The sequence below is a fragment of the Homo sapiens genome, chromosome 8 (assembly GCF_000001405.40).
Source record: "Homo sapiens chromosome 8, GRCh38.p14 Primary Assembly".
NCBI classification, from domain to species: Eukaryota; Metazoa; Chordata; class Mammalia; order Primates; family Hominidae; genus Homo; species Homo sapiens.
The window spans coordinates 42,960,568-42,979,711 of NC_000008.11; the positions used below are offsets into that span (position 1 = coordinate 42,960,568).

At 41.9% G+C, this 19,144-nt stretch overlaps 1 protein-coding gene across 1 annotated transcript in view; it reads left to right on the forward strand.

The window, feature by feature from the left end:
* HOOK3 (hook microtubule tethering protein 3) overlaps window positions 1-19,144 on the forward strand; it is a 133,558-nt gene that overhangs the window by 63,590 nt on the left and 50,824 nt on the right. Inside the window, exons 9-13 of the mRNA NM_032410.4 lie at window positions 3,744-3,907; window positions 5,906-6,046; window positions 7,446-7,647; window positions 12,722-12,832; window positions 13,540-13,627. Of these exons, the coding sequence (NP_115786.1) occupies window positions 3,744-3,907; window positions 5,906-6,046; window positions 7,446-7,647; window positions 12,722-12,832; window positions 13,540-13,627 (706 nt within the window). The remainder of the gene's footprint in view (window positions 1-3,743; window positions 3,908-5,905; window positions 6,047-7,445; window positions 7,648-12,721; window positions 12,833-13,539; window positions 13,628-19,144) is intronic.

Genomic DNA, 19,144 nt, shown 5'->3' on the forward strand with positions numbered 1-19,144 from the left:
AGTGATGAAGGAAAGGGAGAGCCAGAAATGATGGCTTTCATCTTAACCAAGTAGGGCATCTAGAACCACTTCTACAGGGAGACAATCATTACATGGCTGGCTGCTCCTTGTCATCCAACCTCAGCTCAAAAATCACCTGATTTATTTGTCATAAAGTGTCAGGCACTGGGATGCATCAGGCACTGAAGTAGGTCTAAAGTAGGTCTCTTCAGGAAGGCCTTCCATGGTTGAGTAATCCCAAATAATCACCCAGTCTTTTTTGTTGTTCTTATTTTAACCCTCTGTGTACTAGGCAGTTTTTGTATTGTTGTAAAGAAATACCCAAGGCTGCATAATTTATAAAGAAAAAAGACGTTTAATTGGCTCACGGTTCTGCAGGCTTTCCAGCATGGCTCCAGCATCTGCTTCTGGTGAGGGCCTCAGGAAGCTTCCAATCATGGCAGAAGGCAAAGGGGAAGCAGCTGTGTCACATGGCAAGAGTAGGAGCAAGGGGTGGAAAGGTGCCATACACTTTTAAACAACCAGGTCTTGCAAAAATTCCCTCACTTGTGAGGACACTACCAAGCCATTCATGAGTGATCCAGTGCTGTGATCCAAACACCTCCCACCAGGCCCCACCTCCAACATTTGGGACTACATTTCAACATGAGATTTGGAGGGGATAAATATCCAAACCATATCACTCTGCATAGCACTTTATATTCTGGTTTTTACATGTATTTATTAATTTACTTTCTTGTGCAATGATTTGTTTTTACTTATAATTTGTTTTGAATATATAACACATGAGTAAGAACTTCCCTTTTTTCATCACTGTATCCCTTGCACTTAGAAAACTGCAACCATACCTAGCACATAGTAGGTGAGTGAGTGAATGAGTGGGTGGGTGACTGAGTGAAATGAATCAGTAAGTAGTTTAAAGTTGCAGAGGTGATCAATGAAAGAAGTGAGAACAGTGATTAACTATATTTATGGTAGGAAGGAATGACTCAAGTTGCTATAATCAAACATGTCAGAGGAGAGAGTCACTAGATAATGTCTAAGGTTGATAAGTCAAGAAATAATTGTGTAACATTATTTAGATATGTAAAGTGACAACCAAAAGCAATAAAATTAGGAACCGTAAAAATATTCTCTGGAGAGTGGGAAAACTCCATAGGAAACTAGGTTTTTGTTATAAGCCCCTTTGCTTTGTTATTTTCTTAAATAATCATGTTTATGTTTTGTTTTGTTTTTTGAGACAGGGTCTCACTCTGTCACCCAGGCTAGAGTGCAGTGGTGCAATCTTGGCTCACTGCAACCTCCGCCTCCTGGGCTAAAGCAATCCTCCCACCTCATCCTCCCGAGTAGCAGGGACTGCAAGCGCATGCCACCACACCCAGCTAATTCTTTTATGTTTCGTAGAGTTGGGGTTTTGCCATATTGCCCAGGCTGGTCTTAAACTCCTGAGCTCCGGTGATCTGCCCACCTCCGTCTCCCAAAGTGCTGGGATTACAGGTGTGAGCCACCTCATCTGGCTCATTGTTTTGTTTTTTGAGACAGGGTCATGCTGTGTCATTTAGGCTGAAGTGCAGTGGCATGATCACAGCTTGCTGCACTCAACTTCCTGGGCTTAAGTGATCCTCCCACCTCAGCCTTCCAAATAGCTGGGGCCACAGGTGCCTACCACTAGGCTTGGCTAAAATTTTCATTTCTTTTTTTTTTTTTTTTTTTGGTAGAAATGGGGTCTTGTTATGCTACCCAGGCTGGTCTCAAAACTCCTGGCCCCAAGCAGTCCTACCAACTTGGCCTCCCAAAGTGCTTGGATTAAAGGCGTGACCCACTGCACCTGGCCCGTGTGTTTTTTTTTTTTTTTTTGAAATAGAGTCTTGCTTTGTCGTCCAGGATGGAGTGCAGTGGTGTGATCGTGGCTCACTATAGCCTCGACCTCTTGGACTCGAGTGATCCTCCTGCCTCAGCCTCCCAAGTAGTGGGGACCATAGGCATTCACCACCACACCCAGCTAATTTTTTATTTTTTGTGGAGACAGGGTCTCACTGTGTTGCCCAGGCTGTTCTCCAACTCCTAGCTCAAGTAATCCTCCTCCCTCAGTCTCCCAAAGTGCTAGGATTACAGGCAGGAGCCACCATGCCAGCCATGTTTATGTTTTGAAAATTAGATTCTTTTTGTCTGTGTGTAAAAAGGAGTTCTGCCAAATATATTGACTTTTTTTGGTCTGACTTCTTCTTCTTTTTTTTTTTTTTTTTTTTTTGAGACAAAGTCTCGCTCTTGTCCCCCAGTCTGGAGTGCAATGGCACGATCTTAGCTCACTGCAACTTCTGCCTCCCAGGTTCAAGCTATTCTCTTGCCTCAGCCTCCTGAGTAGCTGGGATTACAGGCGTTTGCCACCACGCCTGGCTAATTTTTGTATTTTTAGTAGAGATGGGGTTTCACCATGTTGGCCAGGCTGGTCTCGAACTCCTGACCTCAGGTGATCCACCCACCTCGGCCTCCCAAAGTGCTGGGATTACAGGTGTGAGCTGCTGCACCCAGCCTTTTGTCTGACTTCTTACGTTATTTTGAGATTCATCTATGTTGTAGCTGTAAATTGTTAATTCTTTCTTATTGCTGAGTAGTAGTACAGGTTGAGTATTCCATATATGAAATTCGGGATATTTTTGGATTTGGGGATATTCGCATTATATGCTTACTGGTTGAGCATCCTAAATCCAAAAATCCAAAAGCTGAAATGGCTCCAATGAACATTTCTTTTGAGTGTCATGTAGGTGCTCAGAAACATTCAGATTTTGAAGCATTTCTGAGTTTGGATTTTTGGATTTGGGATGCAAATCATTTATCCATTTGCTTGTTGGCAAACGTTTGGATTGTTTCCAGTTTTCTTCTATTACAAATGAAGCTGCTATAAACATTGTTCCTAAGTCTTCGTGTGGGCGTATGCTTTTATTTCTCTGAGTAAATACCTAGGAGTAGGATGGCTAAATCAGTCATGTGGTAGTTGCATGTTTAATTCTTTAAGAAATTGCTAAACTATTTTCCAAAATGTTTGAAACATTTTATATTCTCACCACAAGTTTCTTTGCCAACATTTGGTACAGTCAGTCTTTTTAATTTTATTTATTCTAGTGGGAGTGTAGTTATATAATAATGTGATTTTAATTTGCATTTCCTTGATAACTAATGATTATTTATTAGTGTGCTTCTTTGCCATCTCTATATCTTGTCTGGTGAGGTGTTTCTTCAAATATGAAATAAGAATGAATTGTTACTCTTACATCTTGCTCTGCACGTGCAGTATTCCAAAATGATGTAAATGTTTTAAGTAGAGATTGATTGTACTTCTTTAAAAATAGGCTTTAATGGCCGGGCGCAGTGGCTCACGCCTGTAATCCCAGCACTTTGGGAGGCCGAGGCAGGCGGATCATGAGGTCAAGAGATCAAGACCATTCTGGCTAACATGGTGAAACCACATCTCTACTAAAAACAGAAAAAATTAGCCAGGCGTGGTGGTGGGCGCCTGTAGTCCCAGCTACTCGGGAGGCTAAGGCAAAAGAATGGCGTGAACCCAGGAGGCGGAGCTTTCAGTGAGCCGAGATTGCGCCACTGCACTCCAGCCTGGGCGACAGTGAGACTCCGCCTCAAAAAATCTATATATAGGCTTTAATTTGTAATGGTAATTCACAAGTGATTGAGCTGATGCCAGTGTAGTTGGAAGAAATAACTGCCGTCGTCCTATATTCCAACAGGTTGCAGCATTGCAGGAAGAGAAAAGTAGTTTGTTGGCAGAGAATCAGGTATTAATGGAAAGACTCAATCAATCTGATTCTATAGAAGACCCTAACAGTCCAGCAGGAAGAAGGCATTTGCAGCTCCAGACTCAATTAGAACAGCTCCAAGAAGAAACATTCAGGTAAAAGACAACTCATTAAAATCTGATTTTTAAAAATTTGTTAGCTGTCATTTAAAGTTAAGAGTATATTGGCCAGGCACATTGGTCCATGCCTGGAATCCCAGCACTTTGGGAGGCTGAGGCGGGCTGATCACTTGAGGTCGGGGATTCAAAATCAGCTTGGCTAACATGAGGAAACCCCATCTCTACTAAAAATACAAAAATTAGCCAGGCATGATGGCAGGTGCCTGTAATCCTAGCTACTCGGGAGGCTGAGAAATGAGAATCGCGTGAACTGGGGGTGTGGAGATTTCGGTGAGCCGAGATCGTGCCACTGCACCCCAGCCTGGGCAACAGAACGCGACTTTGTCTCAAAAAAAAAAAAGAAAAAAAAAATATAATGTTAGGACTTCTGGGAAACTGCAGTCCATTGAGGCTCCAAATAAACAACTCAGAATCTCCTCACACAACATGAAACTACTTCACGTCTAGGAAGTGTTCTATCAGAGCGCCACCCTCCTTATTGTTTGAAGGCAGAATGCCGCAACTATAGGATACCTGAGTGAGAGGGAGTACCCCACACCTGCCCCTCTGTGGGAAACAAAGGCGACTGAGGAAACTTTCAAGAAAGACCGAGGAAGAACATTTGTGAAGGGGCCTGAAGGCGAGTTGACATGATCACCAGAAAGATTAAATTTCACTGAAAATCTGAAATGACTTTGGTTTGGAAAAGTAATGGTCAGAGCAGACCATAAACCACAGATTAGGGATTTCAAAATAAGCACATCTTCGGGAAGGGCCAGATGACATGAAAAGTTACAGGCAGGGATTTTTAAAAGACAGATGCATTTATAGACTTATAGAAATCTATATACGTGTGTGTGTGTGTATGTGTGTGTTTATAGAGATAGACTTATTTAAAGGGGTGAGCTGATTTAAAAGGACAGGCGAGATTTAAAGGAACAATCTTCCAGACATCTTCTGTGGGAAGAAAAGCCCAAAAGGAAGGAAGAAGGGCCCTTTGACCTTTGGGTGGTGAAAGGAAAAAGAAGAAAAAGGAAAATATGTCCTGCAAGATAAGACGGAAGCACAAAATCGAAAGACAAGAGTATGATGAAAATATTTTGTTACGGTTTACTAAAAAGTGCGTCATCACTTGTTTCTTCCCTAGCCATAGATTTCTAGTGTTAAAACAGAAATTAAACATCAATTAGATTTTTACTTTACTGAGTAACTGAGTGTGGTAACATAACTATTCTTGTTATTCCTCAGTGAAATGTTTCTGGATTTTTTTTTTTCTTTTACCTTAACAGGAAAAAGTAATAAACTTTTCTTAGGCTCCTTAGAAACCTTAGAAACAGTCCATTCCCTTTGGTCCACGTCAGCAGTTCAAAGAATGGTCGAGGCTCCTGGAGGTCCTCTGATAACCATTTTGGAGAATCTGCAAGACCCTCTCTTTCCCGACTATGTGTCTGCAAGGCTGGATTTTCTTCATATGCTTCAGCCAAAAAACAACATGTCACCAACAGATGAATGTAGAAACAAATATGAGAACCCAGCTGTCTTCTATTAAAACAGATAATAGAATCACAAAAATATAAAACAGTGCCACTCTTCTCACTTTTTTTGTTTTAGAAAATAGTTATTTTTCATAAAGAGTATGTTGTTTTTATTAACATAATGGGTTTATTACTGTAATCCACTGTGCCAGACCATATGTGTTAATTTTATAATAAAAAAAGCCCTTAAATTGTATCTGCAATATTTCAGAAAAATGTTGCATGATGTCTTGCTTTCTGGTAGGGAAATAGTAACCAGTTGTCACCGTTCCCAAGACTTGGGACAGTGGAGTTCATTTTTATGACAGTTAGTGCTTGAGAATGCAGCTTGTGGCCACTAACATGGGAGACATACTCAAGAAGGCTTTATTCTCATGCTTTATATCTTTCTTTTACTGTTCTAAGGAGAATGAGGAGGCAGTAAATAGTGCTTTCTTGGTCTATTTTATATCGGTTACAGACTAGAAGCAGCCAAAGATGATTATCGAATACGTTGTGAAGAGTTAGAAAAGGAGATCTCTGAACTTCGGCAACAGAATGATGAACTGACCACTTTGGCAGATGAAGCTCAGTCTCTGAAAGATGAGATCGACGTGCTGAGGTAAAAACCTCACCTTCACCGCCCAGCACAGTTTGGCTCTGGTGTTAGAAACTCTAGGGTTTCTGAGGATCTAGCAAACTTAAGAGCCAGGCTACCTGGGCTGGGATCCCGGGTCTACTGCTTATGCAACCTCTGTATGGCTGTTTTCTCATCTGCAAAATGGAAACAATACACATGCCTACCTCAGGTTTATATGAGGAGTTGAGTGAATTTATATTTGTAAACACTTGCAACAGTGTCTGGCAATTAAGCGATACACAAGTGTTTGTAAAATAGAAATTGTGACCATCACTTCTTACTTGTACAGCTCTGGAGCTGTTCTTCCGCCACGCCCGCAAGGCCTCATTTTCTTGCTGGGCCTTGTTATTACCCCTTCAGTTCTCTCATGAGGTGCCTCACTCCCTGTCACCTCATTTTTTCACCCCTCTGCTTGTACAGTCTCCTATCCTCTGTTGATTATCTCAACCATCTACATTTTCCACTTTTGCTCTTTGAATACTGAGAACAGGGGAAATGCATAATTGATAGTTTTGTGCTCCTGCCAATTGGTGGCTTCCTTCTGAGCTGGGTTCTTCCCAATGGCCCGCCCTCCCCTTGCTCATTGTCTCACTCATAGCCATTCTGATTCCTCAGGATTCTACTCCCCGGCTGCCCTCCACACACACCTCCCATGACTTAGTCTCAATAGATGACCTTGTCTCCTATAGCAGCGAAGAAAGAGGCCGTGAACTGCTGAACTCTCCATGTCTTTTGTCTCCAAAACCTCTAAACTTCCCTGGGTTCCCACCCACCCTTTCTTTAGTGAGTGTAGACCTGTTATTCTTCCTCCTGTTCAGGGCTAATTCCTTCTTCAGTGTTCTGGACCTCTACCTTTCTGGCCTACGCGGGGACTGTGTTACATCAATCCTCATTTCTTTTGCCTTTTGAATCTCTCTCCTTCATACACATGCACACGCGCATTTAGGTCTCTTTAATCTTAAAAAGAGAGGGAGTTATTACTCTCTCCTTCCCACTAGAACCAAACTTAGATTACATAAGGTAAAATTGACATTCTCTCCTCAACCCCACTATCTGCCCACACTACCCCACTGAAGCTGCTATTCTGGTGGTCACTGATAATTGCCAAATTATTCGGACACTGTTAAACTTACTTTTCTTTTGTGCCACATGTGACTCTGCTGGCTGCCCTCTCCTGCTTGGTTTCCTTAAATTATTATTCTCCATTAAACATTTAGTTGTAACTTAGGTCATATTTGTTAACCTGTGCAGAAAATTAACCTGGAATCACTTTTGTCTTATTTCATTAGATGTGTGTTTCCTGGCAATCCTTCTTAACACTGAAACAACTTTACAAGTGTGGATGTGTTTCTGATTTTTTTAATTTCCCATCTAATTCTAGACATTCTTCTGATAAAGTATCTAAACTAGAAGGTCAAGTAGAATCTTATAAAAAGAAGCTAGAAGACCTTGGTGATTTAAGGCGGCAGGTTAAACTCTTAGAAGAGAAGAATACCATGTATATGCAGAATACTGTCAGTCTAGAGGAAGAGTTAAGAAAGGCCAACGCAGCGCGAAGTCAACTTGAAACCTACAAGAGACAGGTAAAAGAAACACAGCATCTTGATGATGGTTTCAGGCAAGCTCTCAGTTATGACATGTAGCTTACCAAAATTACTAATTTGTTTTCATGGTATTCTGTTTTTTACCTTTTCTTTATTGTATTGATTCATTTAGGAGACTGAGTCTCACTCTGTCACCCAGCCTGGAGTGCAGTGGCATGATCTCAGCTCACTGCAACCTCCACCTCCCAGGTTCAAGCTATTCTTCTGCCCCAGCCTCCTGAGTAGCTGGAACTACAGACGCATGCTGCCACACCTGGCTAATTTTTTGTATTTTGGTAAAGACAGGGTTTCACTGTGTTGCCCAGGCTGGTCTTGTACTCCTGAGCTCAAGTGATCCACCAGCCTCAGCCTTCCAAAGTGCTAGGATTACAAGCGTGAGCCACTGTGAGCCACCATGCCTGGCCTATTGTATTTATTTATATTTATCTAATATTTAAAGAGCTTTAAACTCTCCATAGCAGGTACTTTTATTTTATTTACTTATTTTTATTTAGTTAGTTATTTATTAGGTAATACTTAAGAAATATACAAATGTAAAAGCATAGTTCAGTAAATATTCATGCTTGAATAAAACATGCTCTCCCCCTCCTCGTTACAGGCAGCCTCCATGCTGCGGCTTTCATTCCCATTCGTCTCTCTATACTTTTGCTACATATATATATTTATCCCTAAAAATTTATAGCACTTTGACATGTTCCAGAACTTTATATAAATGATACAGTGAAAGCACTCTTTGTAATTTTTTTTTCTTTTGCTCAGTGAGACTTGTTTATCATGATAGGTATAGCTTTATAACATTCATTTCTGCTGCTCTCTCAGTTAGTCTCTGTACCAAAATTTATCTATTTTCCTGTTAAGAGACCTACAGGATGTTTCAGCTTTTTTTTCTATGTTAAAAGAAATGCCATATAAATAGTATTGTACAGGTCCTCTACTATATATGTGTGAAGGTTTTACAACTTGATGGACTTTCTGTCTAAGAGTATCTTCAATGTAGTTAGATATTAGCAGATTGTTCCTTAAAGTGATTGTGCTACCAACAAGCAGTTTATATTCCTGTTGCTTCACATCATCACCAGCACACAGTATTGGCAAACTAAATTTTGCTGGCCTGGCACAGTGTCTCACGCCTGTAATCTCAACACTTTGGGAGGCTGAGGCAGGAGAGTGGCTTGAGCCCAGGAGTTCCAAACCAACCTGGGAAACATAGCAAGACCCCATCTCTAAAAATAACTTTAAGTTAGCTGGGCATGGTGGCATGAACCTGTGGTCCCAGCTATTTGGGAGGATGAGGTTGAAGAATCGCTTGAGCCTGGGCCTCAGAGGCTACAGTGAGCTATGATTGCACCACTGCATTCCAGCTTTGCTTTTGTGCCGCATGTGACTCTGCTGGCAACATGAGACATGTAAGACCTTGTCTTGAGAAAAGAAAAATAAGTAAAATTTGCCAATTAGATGGGTATAAAATGGTGTCTCCTTTTAATTATACTTCATGTTACCCTGATTACAAATATATTTACTGACCATATTTCTTTTGTAAATTTCCTATTTTTATCTTTTACCCACTTAAAAAATTGAATCATTTCTTTTACTGATTTCTAAAGGTTGTTTATATGTTCTAGATGTTCTTTATCACTTGCACATATTTTTACTTAATCTCCTATGGATCTATGACTTGTCCTTTTACTTTTTTGAGGTTGATAATTTCAGCATAATGAACTTAAAGTACTTTTATGATTTGTACTTTTTATATTTTAAGAAATTATTTCCTATATAAGGTTATAGTCTAATCTTCTCTATTTTCTTTACAAAGATTTAAAGTTTGTTTTGCACATTTAGGTATTTAATCCACTTGGAATTAATTTTTGTGTAGGGTGTGAAGTAGGGATCCCTTTGAGACTCTTTTTGTCTGTGTGGATAACCAGTCAGCCTACCACCATTTATTTAATAGTCCTTTCTTCCACAATGACCTGCAATTCTACCTTGTATATCTAAAATATCCATGTTGTATATGGGTTTATTTCTGGACACTTTCTTCTGTTCCCTTGGTATATTTATCTCTTCCTACACCAATATCACACTCATGTTTTACAAATTTTTAGCAATTTTGATAGGTGGTAGTGCAGACTCTCATACTTTGTCCTTTTTCAAAAGTGTCTGTTCTCAGCCCTTTGCTTTCCCTTTAAACTCCAAACTCTTGGGAATTGGAATTACATTGACTGTCGATCAATTTGGGGAGAGCTGTTTCTGTCTGAACATGATACCTTTCCGTGGTCTTCCATGTCTTTGGGTTAAGTTTATTAATGTTCTTCTAAAGATTTTGTGCATATTTCATTGTAGTTACTGTTGGGTACTTTTGTGTTTGGGGTTGCTTTTTAAATGCAGTTAGATAGATTCCATTTTCACTTTATTGCTAATTTATATGAATGAAATTGACTTTTATATGTTGATTCTGCAACCTTGCCAAATTCTCATATTACTTCTGATAATGTCTGTAGATTCTCTTGTCAGAAGGGATATAGTAAAGAAATAAAAGGAATTTGGGTCTTTTTTTTTTTTTTTTTTTTTCTGAGACAGGGTTTCACTCTGTCATCCAGGCTAGAGTGCAGTGGTGCAGTCATGGCTCACTGCAGCCTCGACCCCCCAGGCTCAGGTGATCCTTCCATCTCAGCCTGCCAAATAGCTAGGACCACAAGTGTGTGCCGCCACACTCAGCTAATTTTGTAATTTTTGTAGAATTGGGGTTTCTCCATGTTGCCCAGGCCGGTCTCAAATACCTGGGCTCAAGACATCCTCCTGCCTCGGCCTCCCAAAGTGCTGGGATTATAGGTGTGAGCCGCTGCACCCAGCCCAATTTCTCCCTTTCTATTCCATATCCTTTTTTTTCTTCTTAATCAGCATAACTGGACTTCAGTACAACTTGGAGTAAAAATAATGGTGGGAAAGCATTCCTTGTTGATTACATACAGAATGTTTTATTTTGCCAGTATATTACAAAGATTGCTATATGTTGTGTGTTTTTTGTTTTTGTTTTTGTTTTCTGGAGACAGAGTCAGAGTCTCGCTCTGTCGCTCAGGCTAGAGTGCAGTGGTGCGATCTCAGCTTATCGCAACCTCCACCTCCCAGGTTCAAGCGATTCTCCTGCCTCAGCCTCCCGAGTAGCTGGGATTACAGGCACCTGCCACCATGCCTGGCTAATTTTTGTGTATTTTTAGTAGAGACAGGGTGTCACTATGTTGGCCAGGCTGGTCTTGAACTTCTGACTTCAGGTGATCCACCTGCCTTGGCCTCCCAAAGTGCTGGGATTACAGGCGTGAGCCACTGTGCCTGGCCACTTTATTTTTTAAATGATAATATTTCATCTACAAGCCTTCTTTGTGTGCTTTTTCAAATCTCCCTGGTTATTTTTGATGGTCTCTTACTCCTTTTTGTTTTTTATTTTATTAATTAATTTATTTATTTTGAGGCAGAGTCTGGCTCTGTGGCCCAGGTTGGAGTGCAGTGGTGCAATCTCAGCTCACTGCAACCTCCACCTCCCGGGTTCAAGCAATTCTCCTGCCACAGTCTCCCGAGTAGCTGGGATTACAGGAGTGCACCACCAAGCCCGGCTAAATTTTCATATTTTAGTGGATACAGGGTTTCACCATGTTGCCCCCAGGGTGATCTGGAACTTCTGAGCTCAGGCAATCTGCCCACCTCAGTCACCCAAAGTGCTAGGCTTACAGGTGTGAGCCGCCGTGCCTGGCCTCTTAACTCCTTTTAAAATTTAGATTTCCTCTTTACTTTTTTAAGTATGTATATTTTGTATCTGATAATTCCAATCTGAAATCCTTGGAGATCTTATTCTGTTATTTTTTGGTTGTTATTGCTGTTAATGTTTTCCATAGAGTCTTGTTCGTTGTGGCATTTTCTTTATGGCCTTTGTAATTTTGGATTTTGCTCTTTCATTAGCTCATCTTTACATTGGGGAATCCTGAGGCTCATGGGTTGAGGTTTTGTTTCTGTGGTCAATATGTGTGTTTGTTTATGGCAGATTTTCCACAGCATTACCAGCTAATACCCCTCTAATTGCTTGGCTTAGGTTTTCCCAGACAATGCAAGTAGTAAAAATTCAAACACAAGTCCATGTATTATTAACAGGCTGTCATTACAAACTTCCAAGTTACCCCTTTTTTCTTTCTTACTTTTTTTTTAAAGACAGGATCTCACTCTGTTTCCTAGGCTGGAGTGCAATGGTATGATCATAGCTCACTGCAATCTTGAACTCCTGGGCTCAAGTGATCTTCCCACCTCAGCCTCCTGAGGAACTATGACATGTGCCACCACACCCAGCTAGTTTTTAAATTGTAGAGACTGGGTCTCACTATGCTGCCTTGTCTGGTCTCAAATTTTGGGTTCAAGCCATCCTCCCACCTCAGCTTCCCAAAGTGCTGGGATTACAGGCGTGAGCCACTGCACTTAGCCCCCAAGTTATGCTTTTTTAATCCCAAAGCACTCAGTTTATTTTTCCAGCTGATGAAATTTTTTTTTCTAATCCACCTATTTGCTGATTTGCTACCTTTTAGAGCCCAGGGTGGTTCAACAACCACTCATCTCCTTTTAAAGCTCTAGGTTCCTGTTATCGGCAGTTGACACCTCATGGTACCCAGAGCATCTGCATGAACTTCTCATTCTGGTTTTAATCTCTGAGGATTTCCCTTATTTTCTTGTAAGCTTAGCTATGCAATTAGAATCGCCCTGCCCCACCCCAGCATTTATTTTGTTTTATACAAAAAGAATTTCAGACTACCTGGTTATCTCTATTGCTAGAAATGAAAATCCTATAGATTCGTTTATGATTTTGAACATTGTTACACTGGATGATTCTGGTTGGGACCGAATAGTAACCGGGCAGGTTTTTATTCCTAGTTCTCTCCACTGTGTTAGACTGCTGGATCATATGCATTTGAGTACTGGTGGGAGAGATTTTGGTTTTCTTAAACCTGTAGAAGAAAATAAGGATAATTTCTAATGTCTCAGATTATGTATAAGTAATGGTATCTTTCTGTATCAGGTAGTAGAACTACAAAACAGATTATCCGAAGAATCAAAGAAAGCAGATAAACTAGATTTTGAATATAAGCGGCTAAAAGAAAAAGTTGACAGTCTTCAAAAAGAAAAGGACGTGAGTATATATATTAGGCATTTTGGTTTTGAGCACTGCTAAAATTAAGGCGATTATGTTTAATTCATGTTTGGCCACATTCATTTAAGTTATGAATTTAAAAATTAGAAATCCTATTTATTTTTAAGCTGTAGGAGAATTCCATTTGTGTTTCAGAAATAAGGCAAAAAAGTGGAAAGAATATTTTTATAATACTTCCATTCAGATTTCTTTTTTATATAGTTATCTTTTCTACCACTGTTGCCTCCTTTACGTTGTTCTGCTCATGACTTTCTATAAGTTTGTGTAGCTTTCTTGTTTTCTGTATGATTAATAGAGGACTTTTTGTTGTTCAGCATATTTCAAATCTTTTAAAAATATTTCTACTTTTTCATGATTTATGAATATTTATTGTCTTTGTTCTCCAATGTTTTATGTCTAGTGAAAAGAATGTTAAGAAATTAGTTACTAATTGTTAAAGATGGAGTAGACAGTTTTGTTTAACTATGGATAGCATATTGCCCTGCACATAGTAGATATTCAGTATTGTTAAATGGGAAAAATTGTTTTAATCTTTTCCTCCTTCTATGATCTTTCCATAGAAAAGCAAAAGGTAAAACATGTTCATGTTCACTATTGTTTATCATTCTATTAGGTAAGGCAGAGGCCACTGATGAATAAATTCTTAAAACGTGAAGCTAACCCTCCATGTTTTTGTGTCTCTCCAGAGGCTGAGAACAGAAAGGGATTCTCTGAAGGAAACCATTGAAGAGCTTCGTTGTGTACAAGCTCAAGAAGGGCAGCTCACAACACAAGGTAAAAACGTTTTGCGAGTACAAACCAGATGATTTCTTTTTTTTTTGAGACGGGAGTTTCACTCTTATTGCCCAGGCTGGAGTGCAATGGCACTGTCTTGGCTCACTGCAACCTCTGCCTCCTGGAACCTCTGCCTCCTGGATTCAAGCGATTCTCCTGCCTCAGCCTCCCAAGTAGTTGGGATTACAGCCACACCACCACGCCCAGCTAATTTTTGTATTTTTAGTAGAGATGGGGTTTCACCATGTTGGCCAGGCTGGTCTGGAACTCCTGACCTCAGGTAATCCCACCCGCCTTGGCTCCCAAAGTGCTGGGATTATAGGCGTGAGCCACCACGCCCAGCCAGATGATTTATTTCTAGTAGTATAAATAAAACTATTTGGTTCACTTGAACATGATTGTGCTGATAGATAAAAATGAAACATTGGGCCCACGTGCGCTCCTCCTCGCAAAGCCCGGGCTCCAGCGATTGCCTTTTCTTATTGGTCCAGATGGTGGTCCGAACCCTTAGTCACTGAGCCAATTTCCAAATTAGTCACACCTGCCTTTTTAAGATGAATGCGCAAAAAGGGGAAGAGGAATCTGAAAAGCAGTTCGTCTTAGAAAATGGCCAAACCCAGACAGTCTCTGCGGCTCCCTTCCATTCTGAGAGGACCGTGCCCCCTTATTTTTGACCTCTAAGCCGTGGGTAAAACAAGAACCCTAAGGAATCGCCTGGCAGTCCAGCTGTCTGTGTGGATGCCGAGTCCCTCCTGAATTGCAGGGCCTGGCTACTGATTGGCCAAGAAAGGCCTCCTAGGCCCTCACTAGAGGATATGAACTCCCCTCCTTGGCGTAGCGACGGGAAGGGGTGGCTCTGGGGTGGACAAGCAGCGGGCTGGGGAGAGGCGGCTACGGGTGGGGCGCACCCAGGAGCGGGAACCTGGGAGGCCAGGCTCTTGAGGGGTTGCGGGGAGGAGAGAGCCCGCCTGTTTCCTAACAATGAAAACACCACCAAGCCCTCAGCGCCGCCGGGCTGGGACACCTGCCTGACCTGTGTTCCCTTAAGGAGGATTCTGTGCTGTTAGGGATTATTTTTATTCCAGCCCTTGACATTTCCGTACTTCATTTCTCAGTCAGCATTGATTTTTAAAACTCCCGGCCTAGTCTCTTGCCATGGCCTCATTCATCCCGCAGTTACTGAGCACCTGCTGTTTGCCAGGCACTGTGTCTATTAGTAGAGCTGGAGATACAAAAATAAATTAGGCAACGTGGTACAAGATGATAGGTGCTATAATTGAAACGTGTGCAAGGGCTGGTAGTGACGTAAAGGATCTTCCTTGTGGATAGATTTACCCAGAAAGGCTTCCCAAAGACACGGGATGAGTCAAGAAGGAATGATAGGGCTTTATCAAGCCCATGAAAAAAGTGGACGTGACTTCTCCAGCTATCGAATTAGATGACGCTGCCGTGCTAATTTCTCCAAAGGAGAAACAAAAGTAGTGTAATAGAGGTATTCTAATACTTACCTTAAGATAGATACATATGTTGAGACGGAGTCTCGCTCTGTCACCCAGGCTGGAGTGCAGTGGCGAGATCTTGGCTCAGTGCAACCTCCGCCTCCCAGGTTCAAGCGATACTCCTGCCACAGCCTCCCTAGTAGCTGGGACTACAGGGGTGTGCCACCACGCCCGGCTAATTTTTTGTATTTTTAGTAGAGACAGGGTTTCACCGTGTTAGCCAGGATGGTCTCAATCTCCTGACCATGTGATCTGCCCACCTCGGCCTCCCACAGTGCTGAGATTACAGGCGTGAGCCACCGCGCCCAGCCAAGATGTAGATGTAGATGTGTGTGTGTATATATATATGTGTGTGTGTGTGTGTGTGTGTATATATATGTATATATATTTTTTAATCCAAGTGCCATAAGAGGTGATTTAAGTCTAATTCCTACTTTGTTGTAAATTGCTTTGGGCAGACAATTTAAGCCTAGACCCAACAGTGCTATTCAGGTTAGGGGCTGTCAGTGTTTGGTAGAAAAGGGCAAATTTAGGCCAGGCATGGTGGTCATGCCTGTAATCTAACCCTTGGGGAGGCTGAGGTGGACAGAGGGCTTGAGTTCACAAGTTCAAGAGCAGCCTGGGCAACATAGCAAGACACCCCACCCCAACAAAAAAAATTTAAAAATTAGCTGGGTATGGTGGTGTGTGCCTGTGGGCCCAACTACTCAGGAGACTAAGGCAGAAGGATGACTTGAGCCTGGGAGGCAGAGGCTCCAGTGAGCTGAGGTCGCACTACTGCATTCCAGCCTGGACAACAAAAAGGAAAAGAAAAGGGCCAATTTAGTAATAGGACAATTTGGTAAGGATGACAGAAACAAAGACTTAATTGCAATTTGAGTTTTTTAAACCTCATCAAGTTTGTATAAGAATGGTGTTTCTTGGCCAGGCACAGTGGCTCATGCCTGTAATCTCAGCACTTTGGGAGGCCGAGGCAGGTGGATCACAAGGTCAGGAGATCGAGACCATCCTGGCTAACACGGTGAAACCCCGTCTCTACTAAAAATACAAAAAATTAGCCGGGCATGGTGGCGGGTGCCTATAGTCCCAGCTACTCAGGAGGCTGAGGCATGAGAATGGCGTGAACCCGGGAGGCAGAGCTTGCAGTGAGCTGAGATCGCGCCACTGCACTCCAGCCTAGGGACAAAACAAAGAAAGAATGGTGTTTCTTACTGCATGGTGAATAGTGTTAGAATCACCTGGGATGCAGATTCCCAGGTCCACTCATGCCTACAAATCAGGGACTCTGGGGACATGGCTCAGAAAGGTGAATTTTAAAATAGTGCCCCAGATGTTTCTTGTGCACATCAATATTTTAGGCCCTCTGGCATAGGATAATGGAGGCAGATGTAAAGTAAAATTCATTTCCTCACTTTGCATGTTGGGAGAACATATTTATATCTCACCTTTCTGTCATCCCCTTTATTACCAGTGTGAGATCATACAGTCCTCAAGAAGTATTAATGAAATGACTTACAGAAAAAATTTTCTTAAATAACACTCTTGCCTGACACCTCTTATATAAGCAGAAAGGAGTCTGGGACCTCAGCTTCTAAAATGGGAACCATGCTAAGGATCAAAAAGTGAAGACACCTGGGGACTCCCTGTCTTGCAAATACAACCAACCACAGAAGGGTGTGAGAGTAGTTTCTTGGCTTGCTTGACTTCCTTCTCACTTTCCCTTGGTTGACCCAAAAAGACCCAAAGCTCAATCATTTAGGTGGGCTGATGATTCCATATAATTCAAACTTTCAATCACTAAGAGGAAAAAAAAAGATGTATGGAGATACCCCAAAACATATTTAGGTTAACTTTATCGTATGCTTTATTTGATTAAAACACTTAACCATTAGGCTGGGCACAGTGGCTCACACCTGTGGTCCCAGCATTTTGGGAGGCCAAGGCAGGCAGATCACTTGAGGCCAGGAGTCGGAGACCAGCCTGGCCAACATAGCAAAACTCCGCCTCTACTAAAAATAGAAAAATTAGCCAGGCATGGTGGTGCGTGCCTGTAATCCTAGCTACTCGAGAGGCTAAGGCACAAAAATTGCTTGAACTCGGGAGGTGGATGCCACAGTGAGCTGAAATAGCACCACTGCACTGCAGCCTGGGCGACAGAGTGAGACTCTGTCTCCAAAAAAAGAAAAAACAAACAAAAAACAAAAACACTTAACCATTAAAGAAGGCCCAAAAAGATTCACAACTTTAAAAAGAAAACTGGTGTGTACTATCATAAACATTGAATACCATCATAATGGGCTCTGCTGCTAACTAGCTGTGCAGCTCGAGCTAGTAACTAAACTGTCCAAGACTTGGTTTGTTCTGCGAAATGAGAATCATAACTTATTTCTCCAGAGCCAGATGAAGAGTTTTAGATGGTCTTAAATGCAAAGCACTCCGCAATATGTAATTTTAAATGAAAACAGTATTAAATGTAATATAGAAAAAGTTGTGTTTTTTCCTATGTTGGCTGTAATACTCTGATATTCTTTCTTAAGAAGATATCAGATAACCATTTTCTTTTTTTGAGATGGAGTTTCGCTCTTGTCACTCAGGCTGGAGTGCAATGGCATGATCTCGGCCTTGCTGCAACCTCTGCCTACCGGGTTCAAGTGATTCTCTTGCCTCAGCCTCCTGAGTAGCTGGGATTACAGGTGCCTACCACCATGCCTGGCTAATTTTTTTTTTTTTTTTTCAGATGAAGTCTCACTCTTGTCCCCCAGGCTGGAGTGCAATGGCGCTATCTAAGCTCAGTGTAACCTCCGCCTCTCGGTTTCAAGCGATTCTCCTGCCTTAGCCTCCTGAGTACCTGGGATTACAGGCACCTGCCACCACACCCGGCTAGTTTTTGTATTTTTTTTAGTAGAAACAGGGTTTCACCATGTTGGCCAGGCTGGTTTCGAACTCCTGACCTCAGGTGATCCACCCACCTCGGCTTCCCAAAGTGCTGGGATTACAGCCATGAGCCACCACACACAGTCACTTCTTGTATTTTTGATAGAGAAGGGGTTTCATCATGTTGGCCAGGCTGATCTTGAACTCCTGGCCTCAGGTGATCTGCCCACCATGGCCTCCCAAAGTGCTGGGATTACAGGCATGTGCTACCGCGCCCAGCCAGATAACCATTTTCTCTTGACAGATTAGAGTGACCTAGTTTTCCTGGTGATCTAAGCTCATACCTAGTGGCAGGTAATTTAGTGTTGCACACTTAACACAATTATTTCAAAGATTAAATAGGATATGGGCCAGGCATGGTGGCTCTTGCCTGTCATCCTAGCACTTTGGGAGGCCAAGGAAGGAAGATTTCTTGAGTCCAGGAGCTTGAGTTTAGCCTGGCCAACACATTGAGACTCCATCTGTCTCTAAATATATATTATAAAAATAAAAATAATGGCTGGGTGCAGTGGCTCATGCCTGTAGTCCCAGCTACTTGGAAGGCTCAGATGGGAGGATCACTTGAGCCCAGGAGTTTGAGGTTACAGTGAGCCAAAATTGTGCCGGTTCACTCCAGCATAGGTGACCGAGCGATACCCTGTCTCTAAAAGGAAATGATCCTTTTCTTTTAAGTACATCAGACTTCCTAAAGCAGTGAATTTTTTTCAACTGAGAAAAGTTGGGTTGGTGTCACTCCATTAAGGAACTTAGATCCTAAGGAGAAAACTGCTCTTTCTCCTAGGAAAAGAACCACACTTCGCTCAAGGTTTACCCCTCCCACTCCTTTGTTATCAGCTGGGGATGGTGGAGGCTGATGGATTGCTTGTTTGGCTTCACAGTTCACTCCCAGACTAGTAACCAGCTTGTGGCTTTTCAGTTACCTGAAACTGGAATTTTTCTTTTCCTCTGACTACAACATTCTTTTTTCCCTGCTCCTCTCCTTCATTTCACCTCCTAGCCCTCTCTCTGTTTTCTTATTAATCAGCTCTCTTCTTGCTTCATTTTCTAGTTTACCCAGCTGCACAGAAACCATTTTCACTTTGTT